Source organism: Homo sapiens, chromosome 6 (genome assembly GCF_000001405.40).
Source record: "Homo sapiens chromosome 6, GRCh38.p14 Primary Assembly".
NCBI lineage: Eukaryota > Metazoa > Chordata > Mammalia > Primates > Hominidae > Homo > Homo sapiens.
Window position 1 is genome coordinate 83,143,593 of NC_000006.12, and position 25,979 is coordinate 83,169,571.

At 36.1% G+C, this 25,979-nt stretch overlaps 2 protein-coding genes across 67 annotated transcripts in view; one reads left to right on the forward strand and one right to left on the reverse strand.

Moving 5' to 3' along the window:
- DOP1A (DOP1 leucine zipper like protein A) overlaps positions 1 to 25,979 on the forward strand; it is a 103,680-nt gene that overhangs the window by 75,922 nt on the left and 1,779 nt on the right. For 16 of the 50 annotated variants that reach the window (XM_017010559.2, XM_011535619.3, XM_017010561.2 and 13 more), the window contains 17 exons: positions 1,932 to 2,066; positions 3,644 to 3,699; positions 5,167 to 5,271; positions 8,001 to 8,067; positions 8,291 to 8,435; positions 8,696 to 8,775; positions 9,919 to 10,028; positions 10,302 to 10,451; positions 10,588 to 10,649; positions 12,359 to 12,511; positions 13,590 to 13,726; positions 14,975 to 15,030; positions 16,204 to 16,368; positions 19,198 to 19,327; positions 21,068 to 21,127; positions 24,270 to 25,164; positions 25,886 to 25,942. In XM_017010559.2, coding sequence (XP_016866048.1) covers positions 1,932 to 2,066; positions 3,644 to 3,699; positions 5,167 to 5,271; positions 8,001 to 8,067; positions 8,291 to 8,435; positions 8,696 to 8,775; positions 9,919 to 10,028; positions 10,302 to 10,451; positions 10,588 to 10,649; positions 12,359 to 12,511; positions 13,590 to 13,726; positions 14,975 to 15,030; positions 16,204 to 16,368; positions 19,198 to 19,327; positions 21,068 to 21,127; positions 24,270 to 24,575 — 1,917 coding nt within the window. In that variant the 3' untranslated portion in view covers positions 24,576 to 25,164; positions 25,886 to 25,942. Of the gene's footprint in view, positions 1 to 1,931; positions 2,067 to 3,643; positions 3,700 to 5,166; positions 5,272 to 8,000; positions 8,068 to 8,290; positions 8,436 to 8,695; positions 8,776 to 9,918; positions 10,029 to 10,301; positions 10,452 to 10,587; positions 10,650 to 12,358; positions 12,512 to 13,589; positions 13,727 to 14,974; positions 15,031 to 16,203; positions 16,369 to 16,509; positions 16,872 to 19,197; positions 19,328 to 21,067; positions 21,128 to 24,269; positions 25,943 to 25,979 lie in introns of those variants that run through there. The other 34 variants (NR_169791.1, XM_017010564.2, XM_047418434.1 and 31 more) reach the window with 15 other exon arrangements.
- PGM3 (phosphoglucomutase 3) overlaps positions 5,113 to 25,979 on the reverse strand; it is a 45,196-nt gene continuing 24,329 nt past the window's right edge. For 6 of the 17 annotated variants that reach the window (XM_047418877.1, NM_001199917.2, NM_001199918.2 and 3 more), the window contains one exon: positions 21,281 to 25,731. In XM_047418877.1, the coding sequence (XP_047274833.1) occupies positions 25,642 to 25,731 (90 nt within the window). In that variant the 3' untranslated portion in view covers positions 21,281 to 25,641. Of the gene's footprint in view, positions 10,518 to 17,520; positions 25,732 to 25,979 lie in introns of those variants that run through there. The other 11 variants (XM_047418876.1, XM_017010937.2, XM_017010935.2 and 8 more) reach the window with 5 other exon arrangements.

Below are 25,979 nucleotides of genomic sequence, written 5' to 3' on the forward strand. Positions count from 1 at the left end.
CCATTCCCAAAATTAAAATTTTTCATGGATATTAAAAATTCTGCAACAGAAACAAAGCAATATTTTTAGGAGGGTTGGAACAGAAAGTGGATAAATATCAGAAATGGAATACAAATTTAAAGATACGGAAAATACGAGAAAAGAGATAAGAATATTAGAGGAGTGATACTAGAGACCCAGTATCTTTCTGCAGAATTTAAAAACAAGAGGAGAAAAATACAAAGAAATAATACAATAAAAGTCCTCAGGAATGAAGTAAATATGTTTCCAGATTGTGCCTACCACTGTGAAAAGAGATCTGCACAAAGATTAGCATGTAATTTCAAAACACTGGAGATAAAGAAGAGATCCTAAAAGCTTCTAATGAAAGAATACTGGTCACATTCCAAAGAATAAAGATGAGATTTGTTAACAGCAACACTGGGAATTTTGATGGGAAGTTAGTTTCAACCCATAATTCTATCTCCAGCCAAACTGTCACTCAAACATTTTCAGCTATGCAATGTCTCAACAACAACAACAACAAGGAAAATTGCCATGAGTTCACTTTTTCTTGGCTACTGGAAGATGTAACTCCACCGGAGGAGGAATAAACCAAGAATGAAGAAGACAGGGGATCCAAGAAATGGGCTGCAACACAAAAGAGAAAGCAAGGGGAATCTCTGGGATAATGGTAACAGGAGAGATATCAAGATGACACTGTGTAGCAAACCTAGAGAGTATCAACCCAGGGTAGAATAAAAAGACATCTAACAGAAATGTCTCAAGGAAAAAAGAGAAGAGAGGGAGGAAAAGATACAAATTAATTACCTGAAGTATTTGAATATGTAATTAGAGATTTACAGTTGAAGTATGTAGGGATGAATTTTTAATAGGTACAGAGAAAATGAAGCAAACAAAGCAGTTTATTAGCTCTAGGAAAAACAAAAAGTTGTACCATAAAACAAATGCAATGCTAGTACAATGCACATTGCAACCAAAAATAATCATGTGAACATTGGATATGGATTTAAATAAAAATATGATATAACAATGTTGAGAGGATAGGTAGAAAAGTATAAGAGAGCTACATCTTTGTCTTCCAAAATAAGTAATGAATAGATAATGTCTAAAATTGAAAATAAAATCAGGAAATAGGAAAAATAGTAGTATATGTTATTTAGACGTAATGGAAAAGAACATAAAGAGTTGAGCATGGTTGCTTTGGGGCATGGGAAGGGATATAGGACAATACTATTTTTTCTTATAAAGCTTATTGTTCTGTTTTATTTTTTGAGGTGATGTACCTTTATTGATGAAAAATAAATAAATTTTGAGCCTGGGCAACATAGGGAGACTCTGTCTCCACAAAAAAATTAAAAAATTATCTGGGCATAGTGGCATGCCTGTGGTCTCAGCTACTCAGGAGGCTGAAGCAAGAGGATCGCTTAAACCTATGAGGTTGAGGCTGCAGTAAACTGTAATTGAGCCACTGCACTCCAGCCTTGGAGACAGAGCAAGACCCCATCTCAAAAAATATATACATATATTGTATATATATATATATATGCAAATTTTACTTTTATATATATAATATATATATTTAAAAGTATATATATAATATATATATATAATAATATATATATATATAATATATATATATATAAGTAAAATTTGCCTAAAGTAGTCAAGGGACTTGAAGAGGTCTTTATATTAAATAGAGGCCAGGGCTGGGTGCAGTGGCTCATGCCTGTAATCCTAGCACTTTGGGGGGCTAAGGCAGGAGGATCATTTTGAGCACAGGAGTTTGAGACCAGGCTGGGCAAAATAGCAAGACCTCATCTCCATTTAAAAAATATAAAAAAAGAAGAGATCATAAAATACTCTCTTCTGTAACTTCCCCTAAAAGACTTATATACATACATACATACATACAATGATTTATTACCTAGGTCATTCCTGCAGCCAGTGAAGAACAGCTTTTATTAGTGGAATTGGTTCGTTCAATCAGTGTCATGAGAGCAGAAACTGTTATCCAGACTGTAAAAGAAGTTTTAAAGCAGCCACCAGCCATAGCCAAGGACAAGGTAAGAAAAAACTCTTCTTCACATGTGTTTACAATTCTGTTTCAGAAATTATGCTGGTAAGATTTTTTTTTGTACAATAATGTCCTTTCAATATAGTACAGATTGCAGAGATGACTGCATGTGGCCCTCACACTGCTTCAATCAAAACAATTATCAATATTTGTAGTGACTTGCTATTCTGATTATTCGGTAGCCAGTGAAGAGCAGTTAACTGCTCATATCTTCATATGTACCTCAAAGGTAGTCAGGGACCATGTGACTAAATTCTCAGGAGAGATTTTTCTGGTCATTTAAAGAACATAAGCCAGAGCTCAAGATTTGCTTCTCTCAGTTGTTGCCATTTTTCATAGCTTCTTTATTGCTTTCTTTTCTGAATGAATCTCTTAATTCTGTGAACTCCCCAAATTTTGCTATAACCTTAGTTCTAGTCAATGTCATTTCTTGACCATGTATAATACTGTGCTATGCAAGTGCTACACTATGAATGACATAGTCTCTGCACACACATTGCTGTGTTTCTAGGCAAAAATAAAAGTCTACAAATTAGGAATATTACGGACTTTTCTACTTTTTCTGCTCTTTGTTCAAGCAATACCAAGAGGTCATATTTTCCCAGAAAGTATTTACCAACTACAAACATTAGACTTTGAGCCAAGCCAAAATAGACCTAATCACATCCTTTAAAGAATTATGATATATATCTGAAAATGTTGAATGATGTTTTCCTTTTATCTTGTGTTTCCAAAGGGAGTAAGATGTGTGTGAATAGTCAGTGTCCTTATTAAGTTTTTAATAAAAACTGGGGCATTTGTCATAGGATTTTTAGTTTGTATTTTGAGTACCTATTTGTGCCAGACATTGAGCAACACATGAGGGATATGAAAACAAATTAGAGCCAATCCACTGTCCTGCCCCACCAACCTGTGTCCCCTTATTAAGTTCTGAATCTATTAGACACTTGATTTTTGGACAGGAAACCTTCAAGGAAATAGTTGGGACTAAAAAAGCACAAATTGATAAACGTCAGTGGTCATCAATATCATTCTCTGGCCTCTTGTTAATTTCCAAGGGCAGGTGTTTTATTTTTATTATATATTACACTCAACACTATCTTTAATTTAGTGGCTATATTTAAAGCTCTTAGGAATTGATCACAAATTTGAACTACACTAATTGAACAGATATGTGTAATAAGACTCAAATACACATTTCATTAAAAATCTCAACCTCATTCTGATAGCACCAAGCATAAGCTACCTAAAATAGTGTTGATACTTATAGAGTACATGAATCATTTAAAAGTGAGTGGTGGACTATCAACTTCTGATATATGGAAGGAAAAATTGACAGTCTTTCCATTCCTTCCATCTGTTTTCAACTTTTAAAATAGCTCATGTGTTCTGAATTTTTCCTACTGAGTGGAAGAGAACTGCATGGCTCATTAATGAAAAATTGATGATTTTGTTCTTTCAATTTTTTTAATTAAAAATTGGCAGTAAGATACAGAGTAGTTGCAACAATGAAAAAGCAAAGGCAGTATTCTTCTTCACTACAAAATTGATTTCTTTTATTTATAGAAACATCTTTCTTTGGAAGTCTGCATGCTTCAGTTTTTCTATGCTTATATTCAAAGGTAAGATTACTGATATTGATCTGTCCTTACTATGTTGCTAGAAACAGAGAAACATTATTTATGGATATATTAATATAAGTAATGAGTGTCTTAACGACCCAGCCATGTATATCCTACAAACCTAAAGACCTAAGGATATTGAAGATTCCTAGATAGTAAAACACTGAATTGTGATAAAATCATTTAAACATAAATGAAAAGTTGAACCTACTCTCGAAACTATGCATATTGCCACTGAATCCATTATTTTGGTATAGGTGAACATACAGTAATTCATTCTGCTTTTTTAATGTTAGGAATGATTACATGAAATATCTTCTTACTATCATATTCCATTTTGCGTTTAACTGACCTGTGAACAGAAGTTATGATTTGAGTTTTTATAACTTCTTACTCAAGAACCTGACTCTTCATCCTCCTTTATAAGATAATTCCATTTTATTCACCAAACTCAGCCTCCATTTGTAATCTATGACTAGCATTATAAGGTCAGGCTATTGAGTGTATTTAAACTGGTTGTGACCTAGAGCAAGCACTGCCTAAAATCTGAACTTATATACAGAGAGGTGTTAGGGTTAAGGTCAGACTGAAACAAAGATAGTCTTCATTATTTTTACAGGTTAAAGACTAATGTTCAGTTGACAGCCCTCCATAATATGAGGTAGAGACGTACAAGGTGAAGGAAAAAGAACTAAGAGGGAAATGGAGAGACCAGGCTAGGGAGTACATGACTGTGGTATCAGTAGTTAAACTGAGAATTACTGCAGTTGTATTTTACTTTTGAGATCCCATGTGATAAATGGGATTTCAATAGAAAAATTTCTAGATTAAGAAATTGCAGGCTAGGGGCGGTGACTCTCGCCTGTAATCTCAGCACTTTGGGAGGCCGAGGCGGGCGGATCACGAACTCAGGAGATCAAGACCATACTGGCCAACATGGTGAAACCCTGTCTCTACTAAAAATACAAAAATTAGCTGGGCATGGCAGCGCACGCCTGTAGTCCCAGCTACTCAGGAGGCTGAGGCAGGAGAGAATTGCTTGAACCGGGGAGGTGGAGGCTGCGGTGAGCCGAGATCGCGCTACTGTGCTCCAGCCTGGGCAACAGAGTGAGACTCCATCTCAAAAAAAAAGACAAAAAAAGAAAAAAGAAATTGCACTGGGGCCAGATGCAGTGGCTCATGCCCATAATCCCAACACTTTGGGAGGCCAAAGCAGGTGGATCGCTTGATCCCAGAAGTTTGAGACCAGCCTGGGCAACATGGTGAAATTCCATCTCTGTTTTAAAAAAAAGAAAGAAATTGCATTGATATTTCAACTGTGTTGGTTTACTAATTAACGTTAGTAAAAATGTAAAGTTTTTAGGAATTTTGTTCTATCATTGTCTATAAAAATTTAGAGAATGTTCCACAAACTAGTAGAAAACCATAGTTTATTGTGGCTTTTGTATAAACTATATTATCTTGCAGAATTCCAGTGCCCAATTTAGTGGATAGCTGGGCGTCACTGTTGATACTTCTGAAAGACTCTATACAACTGAGTCTTCCAGCTCCAGGGCAGTTTCTTATACTTGGGTAAGCAATTTCACTTAATATTATTTCAAATAAAAGGATAATGTTAATTGTCCTAGTTGCCAAGTATTAGTAATAGATATTTTAGGTGACAGTGATCTCTCTACCTTCTCATAGTGTTCTTGAGATGCAAAACTAGATGTATAAGGCCTGTTTAAGAAAAAAAAAAGTGGGAGGCAGGGTGAGAGGAGGAAACAGTCTATGTTTATACATATACAAAATGTAACTACACTAACATAAAACTGTTACAACAGTAGCTGTTTCCGTGGTGGTGGAGAGTATGGAATGGAAAGGGGAGGGGGTGATGTAGCATGGCTGAAGGGGAACTTCACAGAGGAGGGACACTTGAGCTGGGCCCCAAACCTAAACAGCCTGGGAAAATTTTTCTCTTTGTGTCTTGAAGTTTTCTGATTTATCTTAGTGATTTATATGATTATTTGATAAATGTTAGTCACCTATGACTGCAAGTACTGGGATGTCATAGTCAGTCTCTCTTTCTTGCTTGCCATTATTCTTGATTCCTAATAGGTCCCCAGTAAATACTTGGTAAGTGAATAGAGGTGGTGGGCACAGAAAGCCTTTGTGAAACAGGAAGGGGAAGGGTATTCTGGGGCAAAGTACCTTGTCTGATTTGGTAATAGAGCAGGGCACAGGCAGTGGTATAGTGGAAAATAAGACTGAATGAAAAGGGAGATGGGAGCTAGATGGGGCAGGATCTTGAATTTTATTTTAAAGAATGTGGTCTTGAAAGGGAGTGGGAGCGGTTGCAGGTTTTTGAGGAGAGACATGACTGGCATGTTAGTAGTAGTAGGCTAGATCAGAGGGGAAAGAGGCTAGACTAGGAATTCTATTTCAAGTGGGAAGTGTGGGGATGGTTTCAACTATTGATGGGATTGAAAGAACAGGATAAAGAAGGAGAAGGGGCCAGCAAAGGAGATAGAAAGGGAAGTATCAAAAAGAAGAAAACCAGGCATTTGATTGTCCAGAACCAAAGGGAGGTTAAGAGAGCATGGTTAACACCTACAGAGAGGTTAAGGAAGGTGAGGAATAATAAAAGGCTATGTTTGTTGACAATCTGGACAGGCATCCTAATTGTCCAATCACCAGTTATCTGATGATTTTGGAGAGAGGGTTTGGAGAGGTAGCAGCACAGATGTGTTAACAGCAAATGCTTAGTGTGGGAAAGTAAGTGTTGATTCTTCTTTGAGGATATTTGATCATGAAAAGAAAGAAGCCACATGCGGTGGCTCATGCCTGCAATCCCAGCACTTTGGGATGCTGAAGCAAGAGGACTGCTTGAGCCCAGAGTTTGAGACCAGCCTAGGCAACATAGGGAGACTGTGTCTCTACAAAAAATTTAAAAATTAGCCAGGCATAGTCACACGTGCCTGTAGTCCCAGCTACACAGGAGTTGTCATAAGGTTCAGAGAGGGAATGTATGTACAGGTGTTGGAATCATCACCAAATAACCCTGCTGGCTAATTTCATCAAAAAATTAAGTTCATTTGTTGTGATCTGTAGCTGTTCCCCTTTCCTTACATGCCTTTTCTTCCTTTCAGAATGAAGGATCCTCTTCCTTTTCAACATGTGCATATTCTGAATGTTAAAACAAAAAGTTGAAAGTTGAACATTTTCAGTTATACTAGAAACTTTATTTCCTTTTAAAATTTGTCAGTTTACCTTTTTGCCAACCATTGTACTGATCCTCTAAAATTACCTAATTAAAAAATAGATATTGATATGAAGGTTGCTCTTTAGTTTCATTTTACATATTAGTTTGGAAGTAATTGTGCATATAATTTATCTTTTAAAAAACCATGTCAGAGTGAATATTGAGTAGACTCTTAGCAAATAATGAAAATGGAAATTTTTTTCTTCATGAACTATTTTTAATGTGTTATGGGAAGAAATCATTTCTGTATTACAATTTAAGATTTTTTAAACTTTTCTGTTTATATATAAAACACACATAGAAAAATACACAAATAATTAGTACACAACTCTACAAATGCAAAGTTTGTAAAAAGTCAACATACCACTATATCATTACAAACCCAAATTAAGAAATAAAACACCATGTGTCCCTCCACACCTCTCCCAATTACTATTCTTTTATCTCCCCAAATGTAACCACTATTCTAACACCACAGATGGATTTTGCCTTGTTTTTGAACTATAAGTATATATAAATATTTTGTGTCGGCTTCTTTTGTTCAACATATGTTTATGAGATTCATTTATGTAATTCACATATCTGTAATTTTTCATTGTTGTTTAGTATTTGAACATTCTGCAATTTGTTTTTTCTTTGATATGGGATCTTGCCAGGTTTCCCAGGCCAGAGTGCAGTGGTTATTCACAGCATGATCATAGCACACTGCAGCCTTGGCCTCAAGCAATTCTCCTGCCTTAGCCTACCAAGTAGCTGGAACTACAGGCATGCACCACCACGCCTGGCCACATTCCACAATTTATCTTTTCTGCTCTTGCTGGACATCTGGGTTCCTTCCACTTTGGGGCTCTTACAAAAGATGCTTTGAGCATCTTTATACAGTGTCTTTTCATGAGTATGTTTATGAATGTCAGTTGAGTCATAGGATATGTATATATATTAAATATTTAAAATGGAAATCAAGACCATTAAGCCGCTTAACTCATCGTGAGAAATTAGATCGCATTAGTTTCTTTTAGCCTGATATTTCCCGTTTCTGTTTTCTCTTTGGCCCTTTTAGGGTTCTGAATGAGTTTATTATGAAAAACCCTAGTTTGGAAAATAAAAAAGACCAAAGAGACCTTCAGGTAAGGCAGTCTAAGAGCTGTTGCCAAAACTGTTTCTCAGTGCCCTCAATTTGAAAATGAGAGAGTCAAATAAAATAAACTGAAGTTTCTTTCAACTCTGAACATTCTATGGGAATCAACAAGTCTATTGTAAAATATCTATTATCAGAAATATAAACTACAGAAGTTCATAACTAGTGTGCATGTGTGTACCATACATAGTTGTTCTTCCTTATTTTTTTAGGATGTAACTCACAAAATAGTGGATGCAATTGGTGCAATTGCTGGTTCTTCTCTGGAACAGACAACATGGCTGCGACGAAATCTTGAAGTTAAGCCTTCTCCCAAAATAATGGTAGATGGAACCAATTTGGAATCTGATGTTGAAGGTATTCTTGTCAAACATTTAGGTTTATTATCTGTAAGCAGGCATATATTTACTAAGAAATCATTTTGCCTAGCACTATAAGTACCACAAATTTATCCCTTTTCTCATGTCTAACAAGTAACTTTTTTTCAGTGGGAAAAATATATATATACATATACATATATATATACATATATAAAAATAATACACACACACACACACACACATAAAATTTATTTTCAGTGGGAATTAGCCATATCTTTAATTTTCTCTTATTTATAGATATGTTATCACCTGCAATGGAAACCGCAAACATAACTCCTTCTGTATATAGTGTCCATGCATTGACATTACTCTCTGAGGTAAATATTAAGCTTTTTCACATGAACTCTCAAGTAGACTGTTTCATTATTAAAAATTAGCAAGTAATTTTTATAGAGGAATTTCTAATTTGAGAAACTATTTTGTGCTTCTAGAAATCACTATATAGAATTAATATAAAGTTTTGGCCTTGTATGTATTTGGATTATTTAGTTTGCCAAACATTAGTGATAAATTTAGATACTGCTTCCCTTCTCCATGTCCTATTCTTTTTTATGTGTTTTTTTCTTTTTCTTTTTTTTTTTTTTTTGAGACAGTTTCACTCTTGTTGCCCAGGCTGGAGTCAAGTGGGGTGATCTCAGCTCACTGCAACCTCTGCCTCCCGGGCTCAAGCTATTCTCCTCCCTCAGCCTCCTAAGTAGTTGAGACTACGGGTGTGTGCCACAATGCCCAGCTAATTTTTGTATTTTTAGTAGAGACGGGGTTTCATCAGTTTGGCCAGGCTGGTCTCGAACTCCTGACCTCAGGTAATCCGCCCACCTCGGCTTCCCAAAGTGCTGAGGTTACAGGCATGAGCCACCGCGCCCGGCCTGGGGAGGGGTGGAGGTGATCTAAAGCCTGCCACTATAATGTATTTTACAATTTACCAAACATTTTCATGTACATTGTCTGACAGGTTCTTTTTTATACCCTATTATACACATGTCATTTTGTTTCCTCTTTGCAGATGTGGATAGTGACCTTTACAAAGATCAGAACAATAGGACTAAGGCCAAATAGCTGTTAATTGACAGTGTTGGAATTTGAACAGCCCAGTTCAATTGTTTGTTTTTTTTTCCTAAACTACATTTTAGCTGAGTCAGGGAAAAAGAATACTATAGTTTCTAGTACTAAATTCACTGTTTACTCACTGTCACAGAAGGTTCTTGAACTCTTTTCTTTTTTGTACTTCCCTATCTCAGTTGGAAATGGCAAGATTTGCCCATATTTATATCCTATAGTAACAATGTACAAAAAAGCAGATGGTGGCAAAACTCATTAACATAAAAATGATTCAGGAAGATTTAATTTTAGATTTTTCTAATTTTAAGTAGTCTAGGTTTTCTAACAAACTGAAAATCAGTACCTTGGGATGATGTCAGTTTCACCTCATATGTTACTCTTCATTTTTTATGTTTTCATAGGTTTTGGCTCATCTTTTGGATATGGTTTTCTATAGTGATGAAAAGGAGCGGGTTATTCCTTTACTTGTAAATATTATGCATTATGTTGTGCCCTACCTCAGAAATCACAGGTACTATCATTATTTAAATAGTTTTTAAAATTAATTCATAGCCTGTTAGAAACAAGTTCTGTTCCCTTATTGCCATTTCTAGAATTATCATAAAATGGCATTTTTACCTTGAATTATAATTGTTTAAAAAAATTCATATATTATTTTTCTTATGGTGCTTTCTATTTCATATCTTCATGTCACTGTCTTAGGTAAATGTGAACATTTATGTATAACTTGATAGGATGATTAAAGTTAGGACACGTAGGTTAAGGTGGTTTTTCTTCCTTGTAGTGCACATAATGCCCCTAGTTATCGAGCTTGTGTCCAGCTGCTCAGCAGTCTTAGTGGGTATCAGTACACACGGAGAGCTTGGAAAAAAGAAGCTTTTGACCTCTTTATGGATCCCAGTTTCTTTCAGATGGATGCCTCTTGTGTTAATCAGTAAGTTGCCCTCTTATTTGTATTCAGCATGATGCACCTCACAGTCTGATGAAATCAGCTACTCCCCTGGAAAGTTAGAATACTGTTCTTTAACAGTAACAACATAATTACATGTTGTAATCCTTATCTCTTTCAGTTGGAGAGCAATTATGGACAATCTGATGACACATGATAAAACAACATTTAGAGATTTGATGAGTGAGTATTACGGGATGACAATCCAAGTTCTTTCCTGTACATGGTTCCTTCTTACTATTTACTTGTACTCTTTTCTGGAGACTAGGAGACTACTGAATTAGCTCTTTGTCAAGTGTCAGTGGGGATATGTGCTCTAGGGAAAGCACACTACTTTCTGTACGCTATGGGAATATAATCTTAAAATTTACAGAGGACAACTTAAGTGATAAGTAATAAGTAAAACTATTTGTCCTTTTGCAGCAACTAGTGGAGGGAAGGGTCCATGTCTAATTTGAATCTAAATTATTTCCTCAGTACACAGCATCATACCCAGCACATAATAATAGCACTCAATAAATAATTATTCAGTGAATGAGAGACTGACAGATGGTGAAGTGCAAAAGGCAGGCAGTCGAATCCAGCCTATCAGACAAGTCACTTTAAATCTCTGGGGCTCTGTTTATTTCATCTGAAGGAAGAAAGAGGGGTGCCAAGAAGGGCAGAATCACCCCCCACCCCCTCTTTCTACTCTTGATTGTTTTTATAGTTTAGGATTCCATTTAGAATTTCATCTGAAAAAAAAGAGTTTTAAAAAACGTTTGAAAGTTATTAAATAGCAGTAACATTGTATGATTCTGTAATATTTTTTAACAAATTCTTTAGCTAAAGCTACAGTTTTCTCATTTGGAAAAAGGGCAGGATATCTGTTTTATCTTCATAAGGTTGTTTTAAGGTTCAGATTTATCCATTCAACAAATTTTTATTAAAAGACAACAGTGGGCCACGCATTGCGCTAACCTTAATCAAATTTTAAAAGTTGTGAAGGAAATAGGGCAATGTGTGATGGATTTTAAATAACAGCTAAATAGCTCATATACAAGGTGAAACTAAAGAAGCCAACCATGAGAAGGCCTAGGGTCAAAATATTCCAGGAATAGGGAACAAGAATTACAAAGGTTGGCTGGGTGCAGTGGCTCACGCCTGTAATCCTAGCACTTTGACAGGCCAAGGCACTAGGATTGTTTGAGGCCAGGAGTTTGAGACTAACCTGGACAAAATAGCGAGACCCCAGCTCTACAAAAAAAAAAAAAAAAATTAAACTGGCCAAATGTGGTATGTACCTGTAGTCTCAGCTACTCAGGAGGCAGGAGGATTGCTTGAGCCCAGGTGGTTGAGGCTGCAGTGAGCCATGATTGTGCCCACTGCACTTCAGACTGGGTGACAGAGGAAGATACCATCTCAAAGAAAAATACAAATAAATTGCAAAGGTCTTGGGATGGGAGCACGCTTGGTGCACTGAGAGAATGACAAGCAAGACAGTGTGGCTACAGCAGAGTGAGTTGAGGGTGAGTAATGACTTGAGGAAGGAGAGGTAGGTAGGCAAGCTACACCAGAAGGTATTTTTAAAGTAACGAGAAGGATTTAAGCAGATGGCCTCAAATATTAAAGGGTTTCCTCAGGGTTTTATATAAATGGTATTAGTGGTTTTACCTTCTAAAACCTACAGTTCTAAATTTTCCTCTCCATCACAATTCCTACCATTTTGGTCCTCTGGCTTATATACGTTGGATCTGTTTGCCAGCCTGTCTGCCCCAGAGAGGGGCATCAAGTTTTGTACCCCAAGCTCCTCTCAGTTTTGGATGTCATAGAGCATCTAGCTATTTTAAAAAACAACAGAATAATCTTTCTTCAGATGACAGTGTCACAGTCTCTTTCACTTGCTTTTTCAGCTCGTGTAGCAGTGGCTCAAAGCAGTTCACTTAATCTCTTTGCAAACCGTGATGTGGAGCTAGAACAGAGAGCTATGCTTCTTAAAAGATTAGCATTTGCTATTTTTAGCAGTGAAATTGACCAGTACCAGAAATATCTTCCAGATATACAAGGTAAAAAATGAAAAACCCTTTATTTTTTCTCTAACTACAGGTTTTTGGTTCCTTAGAAAATACTTCTCTAAATACTAAGTTGGGGTAAAATATATCAAGTGTAGATCAATCGGGAATTAGAAATTTTTCTACTGAAACAATGAAAATTATCAATGCTGGCATCTAAAAGAAATCATCACTGAGTTGTAGGACTTGCCTAAATGTGGTCTCTATTTTATTGTTTAGTTCAAATTTCTTAGGAATTCATGTTTGAGGATGAGGTATAAGATGATTTTGCTGCGGGCAGTCATGTTAGCATGTTCTCCTTGTGGACAAGAATTTGTGTACTCTGAGAAGACCAAAATATAAGGCAAAGCCAGGAAATTGTGGCTAGAAGTAACACCTGGAGATCTGTAATTTGGGGACTGCATGGGGGATTATGTAACATTTTCGGTAACTTCATCAAGTGGGTTTGGTGACCTTCTGTATCCAGAAGGATATCAGTACACGTGTCATCACCCTGTACCACCAAATAGCTCCACAATGGGGATTTATCCAGAACAGAATTATTTGCTGCTCGAGTCAGCATACTCTAAAGCCTCCAGCCTCAGGAGCCAACATGGGAACATGATAGTTGTCATCTCTCTAGGGAGAATTTTCTTTTCTCCCAGAAGACAAATGATTCCTTGTTTCCTAACCTTTTACGCCTAATTTCAGATATGCAAAATGTACACTATTTGTCCCTACAATTTTTTTTGTTTAAGTTGACTAGATCAGTGCTACTCAAAGTATGGTCCATGGACCAGTAACCAGTCTGTTATCCCATCCATAAGTACAAAACTTTAGAGTAAACATTTTAAACTTTTATTTGCTATTTGACAGAATCTGCTTAATAAGAAAATGACATTTGTATTTTGTGTATCTTTGTTTAATTGGAGTTCTCTTATTCGTTGTTTTATGAAAATATCTACAACAGTTTTGAATTTTTTTAAAGTTTATCCTTTACTACAGATAGTTTGAGAGTACTGGACCGACAATATAGAAAGTTTTATGTGATAAAGATTATTTAGTTATTGAAAATGCTCTGCATTTCTTTCAGAGAGATTGGTTGAGAGTCTCCGTTTGCCACAGGTGCCAACTCTCCATTCTCAAGTGTTCCTGTTTTTCAGAGTGTTACTTTTAAGAATGTCTCCCCAACATCTTACCTCACTCTGGCCTACCATGATTACAGAACTTGTGAGTTAATTTTAATTCAGTCAGGTTATAAATCTAAATGATAAAACAGTGATTAGTTTCCATGTGCTTACTAGATATTAACGAATATTGGGAGAGAACTGAGCTGTAGTTAAACCAGTTACTGATGCTTTTTACAGTTGAAAATAGTAAAACAAGTCAGATTCCATTTCCATACAGCTTAAATTTACAAACATGCAACATAGATGGATGGCCAGCTCCTTGTGAATGATTACTTTCTTGGATCTGGTTTAGTGTTTAGTCTGTACTACACTACATTTTTAACTCTGTCATGGCCTACAGTCCTGACAATAGCAGCTGGACCCATTTACAATAGCTGTAGCAATACCTCTAGTGATAGAGATGGCTGAGCTGGATTTAACTGCTCTGACATATTACATATACTCACTCTTGAAGTGCAGCACCTACCCCATTTAAACTTGCTTCAGAGAGACTTTCACAAAGATTTTGTAACCTACCAAACGGTAAAACCTTCCCAAGTCCCACCTACACCCTTCTGTTCCCCTCCTCAAACCGTACACAGTCATCCTTATCCTCCTCAGAATGATTTGGGGAGTTAGGAAAGAGGAATGAGTAAACAATGGAAAAGGAATCTCTCTCTGAAAATCTAGCTTTATAGTTTCCCTGCAAATATAATTGCTTTAATCTTTCTTTTATTTTTCCTTTTTTTTTTGTTTTTTGAGATGGAGTCTCGCTCTGTCACCCAGGCTGGAGTGCAGTGGCGAGATCTCAGCTCACTGCAAGCTCTGCCTCCCGGGTTCAGGCCATTCTCCTGCCTCAGCCTCCCGAGTAGCTGGGACTACAGGCACCTGCCACCACACCCAGCTAATTTTGTTTTGTATTTTTAGTAAAGACGGGGTTTCAGCATGTTAGCCAGGATGGTCTCGATCTCCTGACCTTGTGATCTGCCCACCTCGACCTCCCAAAGTGCTGGGATTACAGGTGTGAGCCACCACACCAGACCTATTTTTCCTTTTTTAATAACTAACTCTGTTCCATAATCACTAAAAACAAAAGCTCACCTTCATCTCACTGGATTTCACCAAATGATTAGCAAGGCTCTGTGTGGCTAAATTTGCAGTTTTACCTTCAGAAACTAAGTATAATTTAAAAGATTCTGAAAATGTATTCTAAAATTTGTTTTTGCGTTAATGAAAATACAACTTAAAGATAACTTGAAAGGATTAAATATCCAGTTTAAATAAACATTTAACATTTCACCATTTTCAGGTACAAGTATTTTTACTGATGGAGCAGGAACTCACTGCTGATGAAGATATTTCACGGTAATATGTAATTTAAATATATTGTTGTCCATTTTTTAATACCCTGAAATTATTCAGAATATTACTCAGCATCTAGGAGAATATAGTCTTTTTCTGAATACTTATTTATTATTATCTAATTGATTACGTTTGGATATAATGTAGTTTTACTTATTCCTTAAGCCCTTTAGATTGGATTAAGCCATCAGCATTCATTGCCCTGGGCCCCTAGACACAAATTTAATTTAAAGCAGTACAGTATTGTTTCAGCTACATGAGCTAGGCTGGTTTTGGTAAGTCACATCTGGTCTCTGAAACATTGCAACATATAGCCAACCCTGTTATGGTAGGTAACCTGGAACCAGGCTATTCGTATATGCAGATCTTCCAGATGGTCCCAATTTAATATACTTTTATTCTTTTTAATAGAGGCAGTTTATTAATGTATGACTAAATACAATTTTTTACTTACACAAATTTATAAATTGAAAAGTTCCTTTAAGACCAAGTTTCTTGAATATATTTTCTTCTTCAGTAGTAGATTTATAAAAAGGATCTCCTGTACTAATAACTTTATTATTATAGAGAATTTTCTCATCCTTGCAGAAACTGAGTAAAAAAGTTTCTCGCTTTTACAGTTTTTATTTTTATATTTCTTGAACATAATATAAGTTATGTACTACTTTTTTTTAGACAGGGTCTCATCTTTTCACCCAGGCTGGAATGCAGTGGTGTGATCCTGGCTCATTGCAGCCTCGACCTCCCAGGCTCGGGTGATTCCCCCACCTCAGCCTCCTGAGCAGCTGAGACCACAGGTGTGTGCCACCATGCCTGGCTAGTGTTTTTTTTTTTTGTCTGTGTGTATTTTTTGTAGAGACAGGGTTTCATCATGTTGCCCAGGCTGGTCTCAAATTCCTGGGCTCAAACATTCCACCCGCCTTGGCATCCCAAAATGCTGGGATTACAGGCAGAAGCCACTGCGCCCAGTCTATGTACTGTTTTTGCATTCTCAAAGAAGAAAAGTGAATTTTTGATTTGAAAACAGTGACATTTCATCATGACCTTGCTTAGCAATTACTGGCACATTTATCTCAGGATGATTATGAAAAATATTAGCTGGTACTTTTAGATCTTTCCAGGAATTCCTGTGAGTAAATGGGTCCAGCTGCTGACAGCACTGTCTCCTGCTTACAGGACTTCAGGGCCCTCTGTGGCTGGTCTGGAGACAACGTACACAGGAGGTAATGGCTTCTCTACTTCATATAACAGCCAGCGGTGGTTAAACCTCTATCTCTCTGCTTGCAAATTTTTGGATTTGGCTCTCGCATTGCCCTCTGAAAACCTTCCTCAGTTTCAGATGTAAGTAAAAGCAAGGATATTAAATGGTTATTTTTGAAAGTGCATTTGCTTTGGTCACTGACATCTATGACTAATTAAAAAGTTTTTTGTGTAAGTTGAAATATTCCTAATTTTTACTAAAATGTAATTCTTTTGGCACAGCAGAGTTATCGGAAGTAAATGGTCAATGTGGATATATTAACAGACTATTCAGTCAACAGATTGAGTACCTCCAGATGTGAGACAATGGGGTACATAACTCACATGCTTCAAGTCCAGGGAAGGAGACATACTCATACTATGGTGGCTCATGCACAAGACACACTGAGGCCACATAGCAGAGATCCCTACTAGCTCTGAAGGTCAGAGCAGGCCCTGAGGGCAGTCTTAACCTGAGGTGGTGAAGAATGACAGCTGGGAGAGTGAAGATAGAGGCAGCTGCAGACATGATACGTCTGAAGTGTGGAGAGATTGGTATTGCTGGAGCAGAATGTTAAGAAGAAGCTGGAAAGGGATTAAACCATGTAAGACCTTGTAAGCTGTGTTAGAGAACTTGGACAGCTAAGGAAAGAAGTGATATTATTAGGCTTGAATTTTAGAATGCTTATTTTGGCTATGTAGTGTGGAGAATGGACTGGAGCTGGGCAAGCCTAGAATGAAGGAGGCAGTTTTATCTTAGATGATAATGAATTGAACTGAAAAGAATAGGGGAAAAGTTGATAAAAGCATATATAAATTTTAAAAATAATGGGCAAGCTATGTAAGATTGTTTTATCAAAATGTAGTTAAGGTAATATGAGAATTTATCCACAAGATCAAATATGTATTAATTTATTATATTGTGTCTTATTTTTCTTCTGGAACAGAAATAATAGGATAAAGAGTATGCTACTGAGCTTTTTCTCTTTTTTATTTGGACATGCTCCAAAATTTGCTATTTTACAAGCTTACTTTTCATTAAACTTAATGGTAAGAACTAGAAATTACTTTTAGAGTCATTCTAGTTCCTTTAATTTTCTCTTCTACTTGAAAACCATATATATATATATATCTACTTTTTGATGAATTTCAGTTGTTGGGTATCTGTTACACAGATGTTACTCCTAAGGAAGTCCAGAAAAGAATACTAAACAGAATCGTAGGAATGTGGCCAATATTAACCAAGACACTTACCTTCACAAAAGTGATAACTATTCTGTGGTGCTTTTGGAGGGACATGAAATAGTATGCTCATGATACTGACTTTTTATCTTCCATGACAAGAACCAAAATCAGTTTATCCTCTTTGTCAAGATGTTAGTTACTACAAAAGGGAAGGAAACATGCCGTTATATTAATTAGTTTTTTAAAAACTTACATCTTTCTAAAAATAAAAATCTATAAAGTAGAAAGTGTAAAGATTTTAATTATCTTGAAAGAGTAATATCTTAGCATGATCCATATTTGGAAAGTTCAAAATACTTGATAAGTTTACTGTATATAAATTTAAAAGTATCCATGTAACTAAAAGGTACTATAAAGTTCGAAAGATAGCAATGAATTGGTAAAAGATATTTTCGATGTATATGACAAAAGTCTAAAATGCATAATGTATAAAAATAACCTGGTAGAAAAATGAGCCAATGAGCAAGACAGTTAATAATTTATAGGATGGTTTCTAAACATAGGAAAAACTGCTCAGTTGTTCTCCTGAGTTTCCGATTAAAATTATAGATAACCATCAGAATGGTAAAGATCTGAAAGTTGCTTTCCTTTTACTTTTAGTAACAGAAGCATTCTTATTCTTGTTGGAAGTATACACTGATATTGTCCAATTGTTCAGAGGTTATATTTACCAAAATTTAAAATATATATCTTTAAGCCTATAATTCTGCTACATCCAAGGATTTATCCTGTCTCTATATTCTCAGATGTGCACAAAAATAAATAAGCATTACTTAAGAGTATCCACTGTGGTACTTTGTAAGTGCAAGAAGTTGGACAATCTAGGACATTGGCTGTGGTGTACTACTATGTTGCTGTTAAAAAGAATGAAGTTTTATATGATGCAGAATTGTCTCCAAGATATGTAATTTATATCAAATAAATTATATCAAAAATATATATCCTACATGTATAATTAAAACAGGCAGCAATCATGTTTTTTTAAAAGAGAGGGTTGGTTGTGTGAATATATACTCTTTTGGGCATAAACTCTCTGGACGGACTTACGAAGCTGACAACATTGATGAATCCTATGCGGGGAGGGGAGACTGCCTTTCTTTGGTATGCCCATTTATACTGTTTGAATTTTTCCCATGGTCGGATATTACTTTTACTTACTTATGAAAGACAAAATTACAAACAAAAATACAAGAGAAGTGCAAAAAAAGCCCTTAGTTTTCTTAAATTCGTTCAATTTTTTACTCCTTTACTATGCAACTAGGGAACATTTGGCCAGTTATATGTTGAAAAATCAAGTCTTTGTCAGACTGTTATGTTGCAGTACAAAGAGATAAGCTAAATGAAAACATCTTCCTTTTAAGAACCTTATGCCTGTTCGCTAATGAGAAAAGAAACATTTGTTGAGTACTTGCTTTGGACTCATGAAAAAAGTAATGATGAGTACTTTACAAGTTTTCATATTTATTCCTTACAACCTTATGAGGTAGTTAATAGTATCTTTATTTACTGATGAAGGCTCAGAGAGGTTAAGAAACATACCCAAAGTGACAAGGCTACGAGTGGCACATCTGGCATTTGAATTTTTATAAGCAGTGGGGTCATGATCTTTCTACTACATTATGTGGCCTAATCTTAGATGGCACAAAGTCTGTCTTACTGATGCTGATGTCATTATTCTATACATAGGTACCGATGGGCCTTTATTCCAGAAGCCTCAGATGATTCAGGTTTGGAAGTCAGAAGGCAGGGTATACATCAACGAGAATTTAAACCTTACGTGGTACGACTAGCAAAACTTCTTCGGAAAAGAGCAAAGGTATCGCATTCTTTTGTGATTGTTTTGTTTTACATCACTACATGTTGCATTAGTGAGGTATTTATTAAATACTTCCTGGGAAACTGAGAACGTTATCAAGTTGAGCTATTTTGAAAACAAGTCCCCAGTTTTGAGAGTTAATGTCCATAAGCCTCATATTTCCAGACATTAGAAAACATATCGTATGTATTTTAAAGGAATATGCGGTTATTCATTTTTTTAAAGAAGAAAAAGGAAGGCTTTTGTACATTAATAACATCTACCTTAAAATGTTTTCCCCTCAAAAAAGAAAATAAAAACCTTGGAACCATACATGTGAGTATTTAAGACTGTAGTCCTGAACACTCTTCGTGTCAAAAACTTGAGAATGTAATATAATGTTCATCTTAATGCCATGATGACAAACAAAAGTATGAGTTGATTGAAAAAAATACAGTACAAAAGGGATTTTTAGAACCTGTCAGAGTTGTTTCAACAGAACTAATCAATGGGTAAGAAGATTATACATTTTAAATTTGTAAAATATGAGTCAGATTTCATTGAAATTGAATGAGCTAGACCTCGATCAGAATAAAGGAAATAATCATTAGCATTCATTCTGTTTATCTATATGAAATAAAATATATATGCTAAAATTCATTTTCTAAGTATTTTTCACTTTCTGATTATAACCTACATTCAGAAATGTGTTCCTTATCCTGATCCAGTACAGCTATATAACCGAATCTAAAGTTTCACAAAACAGTTCTTGCCCTTAACATGAGATATTTTCCTTTTTGTAGTTCACAGTGATGATGCTGAGTACAGATTGCAAGACCCCCACAACCTGCAGTTTTTAAAACAGTGCTCAGAGTTAAACTGGCTTTATGACTCTTTAATATAAAGCATCTTCTTAGAGAAATTATTTAAGGGGAAAAGTGGGAATTTACTTAAAACATATACCATTAAAAAGTGTAGGAAAATAAAATTTGTAAAATATTGTCTTATATACTTTTTATCTTTCAGTATGCATCATGCTAATTTATTACAGATCTTTGCCCAAGAACCTACCAGCAATGAAACTGGTATGCTCACCATTGGGCCTTTGTTATTAACCTTTTGTCAAATTTTCTTTTACATTCAACAAATTTCAAAATCAAATTGTACAATTTGGGAGTGATCTAGGTTGTCTGGTGAGATCTAGTATGCAGTGTGTGCTTTGAGTGCTCAGAAATTTTCCAGTCTTCTGGAGTCCTCCTAATCAGGCAGCAGCTCTTAAACTGAATTCCATAACTATAAAAATGGAATGAAGAAAGTGATTAAAGAGATTTTGCTGGAAGGAATTTACATGAGAAAACTTGACTTAAATTCCTAGTTGCTTCTGTAGGGGCTTAATAAAAGGACAGAGATGAGGATGTATGCTGGGTCCTGAGTTCAGGGTAGGACTTTGGTACTTTCAATTTGATATCTCAGAGTTTGGGCAAGTAATCATGACAAATCCAGAAGCAAATATGACCCCAGGCACATGTCCTTTTCTGTTATGCCTGCCTTTCATTAGTAATGAGAATTTTTATAAGACCCCCCTCCTTTATCTAAATAATAAATATGACAGTCTTTTGCCCAAAATTTGTCCCACAGAATAAGAAAACTATTTTGATTGAAAGGCATCTTCCCATCCAAATCACCTTAAACAAGGTCTTCATGGCCAAGCATACTTTTCACTGGAACAAAGGCTGTGAGTTCTCCTCTTTCCTTCCACAGGACAAGGAGGAGGACTTTAAGACAGTGATTTTGGAGGGATTGGAGATGGCCAAGCATCAGGTGAGGGTGGCTGTTTCATGCTTATGATATGGCAGCAAAAGTTGCCAAATATTGAGACACAAACCCAGGTCTGAATGTCAACAAGTACAAGGGAGGTAAACAGGAAGGAAGTCTTTTTTCAAGTGTGGACTGGTGAAGTCAAAGGAGAAATCATTTGTATGGAAACATTTGACTTTATTTAATATTGAGACAATACATATAGTTCTGATTAAGAGCATCAGAAACTCTGAATCAAGTGTATTCTTCTTGGTCAAGAGCTTAATAAAAGTCCCTCTCTTAAAGGCTCATCTTGATAGGAATAGAAACAAAAGGTTACCCCATAGTTCTCTTACATTTGGAAGTTAGCTATATAGAGGGTACAAGGATATTCATTTTCCTTCAGGACAAAGTCATCTCTGTACGCCCTTTATTGTTGAATTGCAGTTTGATTTAGGGGATTAGAGGTGGTATGGTACCAGTAATTGAGTAATGGTGGAAATGTGAAAGTCAGTCACAGGACTCTCATTGGTGCCAGTGTCATAGTTAAGAAAGAAAGAAAGAAAGTTTTATATATCCTGTAATCTAGACTGGAAGCTAAATAATTGCTAGGAAGCAAACTTAAGTGATAGCTGTTAAGTTTTTTGGTTTGTTTTTGACCAGAGATGATGAAGTAGGTGATCTTTTCTTGGTTTGCTCCTAGACTCTTCCATTTTAACTTATATTTTTAGTTTGGTGCAAAAGTAATTGCTGTTTGGGACCATGAATTTTAAGTCATTATAACTAGGTTCACACAAATCTTTATTAATTAAAATAGGAACCATTACAATCAACACATTTTTGCCAATGAGAAATAAGTTTGTTTACTCCTGTAGCATAAAAATCCATGCTTCCAAATTTGACGAACTCTTGGAAAGCATTTTCTGTGTCCTGCTAGTTGTGGAAGCAATTTCCCTGCAAAACGTTGCTGAGATGCCTAAAGAAGTGGTAGTTTGTTGGCAAGAGGTCAGGTGAATATGGCAGATGAGGCAAAACTTCATAGCCCAATTAGTTCAATTTTCGAAGCGTTGGTTGTGCAACGTGCGGCCCAGTGTTGTCGTGAAAAGAATTGGGCCCTTTCTGGTGGCCAATGCCGGCTGCAGGCATTGCAGTTTTTGGTGCATCTCATTGATTTGCTGAGCATACTTATCAGATGTAATGGTTTCACCTGGATTCAGAAAGCTGTAGTGGATCAGACTGGCAGCAAACCACCAAACAATGACCATGACCATTTTTTGGAGCAAGTTTGGCTTTGGGAAGTGCTTTGGAGCTTCTTTCAGTCCAGCCACTGAGCTGGTCATCGCCAGTTGTCGTATAAAATCCACCTTTTGGCACACATCACAATCCGATAGAGAAATGATTCATTATTGTTGCATAGAATAGAGAAAATGACACTTCAAAACAACGAATTTTTTTATTTTTCACTCAGCTCATGAGGCACCCATTTATTGAGCTTTTTCACCTTTTCAATTTGCTTCAAATGCCGAACGACCATAAAATGGTCAACATTGAGTTCTTGGGCAGCTCTCTTATAGTTGTAAGAGGATCAGCTTCGATGATGTTCTCAATTGGTCATTATCAATTTCCGATGACTGGCCACTGCACTCCTCATCTTCAAGGCTCTAGTCTCCTTTGCAAAACTTCTTGAGCCATCACGGCACTGTATGTTCATTAGCAGTTCCTGGGCCAAATGCATTGTTGATGTTGTGTGTTGTCTCTGCTGCTTTATAACCTATTTTGAACTCAGAAAATCGCTAAATTTGATTTTTGTCTAACATCATTTCCATAGTCTAAAATAAATATAAACAGCAATAAGTCATTAGCAAAAAAAAAGTGAGAAATATGCTTAAAATGATGTATAACATAACCACATTTATTTAAGAATGTACTCCAATATAAAACGGCAAATTTCAACAATGCAAAAACCGCAATTACGTTTGCACCAACCTAATATTTTCCTTTTTCAGGATTTTACTTTAAAATAAGCAATAAGCTTGAGAGCACATAGAAGAAAATAAGCTGGATTTTGCATCTGCTTGACCCACTAGGAAACTAGTGATATTAAATTATTAGGTAAACAATGAAAGTTTCTGAGCAACATCTGATCTTAGAAGGCAAACTCCATTTGTTAATATGACAGATTGTAATTCTGCTTCCTAAGTCTTCATGATTTCTTCCTTCTGTCTAGTTCATTGCTTATTTTCATTCTTTAGTGTGGAATTGTATCTGTGATTCTGCCCAAGTTCAACCAACCTGTTCTCTCTTATCTTTCTCTAGACAGAATGATGTCTGTAGCTGTGTTTGTGTAATTCAGGTGGCTTCTCAAACTAGCCTCTTAATACCCAAATTATTAGTCTTTATATTTAGTTGACAGAGTTTTCACATACCTTCTCATTTGACTTCTCTACTAAAAGGTAGTTTTAGACTGTCCCATTTTATAAGTGAGGAACCTTTGTATATCCTGCCCAAGGGTGCCGTAAGTATGGCAGAGCCAGCACACTAACTCAATTCCTTTGACTCCAGGTCCAGCTTTCCTCCCTATGTTGTTTAGCACAACCCAGAAGGAGACAGCAGTGTCTCCTGAGGGATCCCTTCCTTTCTCTGTGATGCAGTACTGACAGTAATTATTCACTTTGGACACTGCTACCATCATGGCAAATTTAGGCCATTTAGATAAAAGGGAATTAACTAATTATAATAAAAGGGGATATATTATGAAATGTATAAAGCACTTTGTTCCTTTTTTCTGTAGTAATTTTGTGACCTAGTCCTTGGTTACAGTAGTGAGGGTTCAGAAACCTGGGAGCTTTTTGAGTAAATACAAAGCACAACATAAAACTTTTATGTTTGACTCTATTCCTGTTCAAAGCTATTTCTGTTAACTAAGCTTATCTGCGCATTCTAGTTGGGAACTATTACTACAATGTTAGACTGCTCCATGTAAAACTAATAAATGGCAGTAAAAGGTCTCAGAAGCACCAAGGGTTTTGATCAGGTCAGGAGTTAGAAACTTAATGTCATTTGTATTCATTTCTTGACCAATTGCCAAAGTTTATATATTTTTAATTTTTCTAACATACCACATTGTCTGTTGTATTAATACCAGTTCACTTTTTGTTTTCTGCAGAAAAATCCAGAGGAAGACAACTCAGGGAGAACATTGGGTTGGGAGCCAGGGCACTTGCTGCTCACCATCTGCACCGTGCGCAGTATGGAGCAGCTCCTGCCGTTCTTCAATGTGCTCAGTCAAGTCTTCAACAGCAAAGTCACAAGCCGATGTGGAGGACACTCAGGGAGTCCTATCCTCTACTCAAATGCCTTCCCTAATAAGGACATGAAACTGGAGAACCACAAACCATGTTCCAGCAAAGCCAGGCAAAAAATAGAAGAGATGGTAGAAAAAGATTTTCTGGAAGGGATGATAAAAACTTGAGCACCATTGCTGGTTCCATTTAGCTTACATGTAAATGTAATTATTTAAAACACACACACTGCTCTGCGTTGTATAGTTTTTCCTTTTTTGTATGTAACAGAACACATTTCAGATTGTATTTAATTTAAATATTTGTATATAAGAGCAAATGTCTGAATGTGGCCTGAATCAAGTTTAAATATTGTTGGCTCATACTGATTATGGTGCCTAAGAGAGCTATATATATACACATGTAAAGTCCATTGTTTTTATTGTCCTGAGTTGTCTTAAACCTGCAAAATATACACTACCCATTTTTTTTTTCCATTGGTTTCAGACTTGGTTCAATTAAGATTGGTTGGGGATTTTTCTCTTTTCCTTATTAACCATGTTCTGGTATCAGAATGGTGTTCCTTCTCCATCAGAGGCTGGGAAACGTATTATAATTAGTTTTTCTCCCACATACCTTCACCAAGAGCAGTGAAGAATAACTGAAGGCTGGACCATGCATCCTTAAAAGTATTGCATGAGCATCTCCACCTCAGTATGGAAGAGGGATGGACAACCCCCTATTCATACCTCTGAGTTCCTGATGGCATTAGTCATATAGGTAAGTCATCTAATAATCTTTCTTAAGACTCTGCAATGGAAAAACTGGTTGTATAAAGTCTTCTCTGCCCTCTCCATTTGTATCAGCAATGGGGAATGCTGCAAAACATCATCTTGCTCATGTGATGGTGATGGCAAAGATATCACAAGGAGTTGGTAATAAGATTTAATTTTCCAGTAGCCTGCATGAATTGTTCCCCACATAAAACTGTACAGTTAGTGACTGAATTGTATACTTAAGTCCCAGTATTTTACATTAGTGAGACTGAAATTAGAGGTAAATTTCTTTAACAAGTGTAAGGCTTACCTATTTATAAAGAATTATTCTGTTAGTGTTTAAGAAAAACAGATCTAGAGACAATCCAGTAGGCTGCATTGTAAACATTATGATTATAAATCTCTTAGTACTGCCATTATTATTGACAGTTTTGTAAAGACTTGTAAAAAGTCCAGTTTCTCAGGAATATGAAAATTATCTTCAGAAACCTGGTTGGGGCCTTTCTCCAATTCCTCCAGCCAGCTGAAATACTGCCAAGCTCACTTCATGTGCAAGGTGATCTGCACTTTCCTGCAAATTACATTAAAAGAGATTAGATGAGAAAGACATAGCATGTGTCTAACATGGGCAAGACCATGTTACTTGGAACTCTGGGGAAGAGAGGGGTGATTCTTGATTTTGTTTCACTAACAAATTCTAATGAAAACCTTTTTTCATCTTTCAGTAACAAATTCCAAAGCCCTTAAATAAACGGAAAACAGACCAAATTCTTCTAAATAAGGTAAGTTTTTAATCAATTCAGATTATAAAAATAGCTA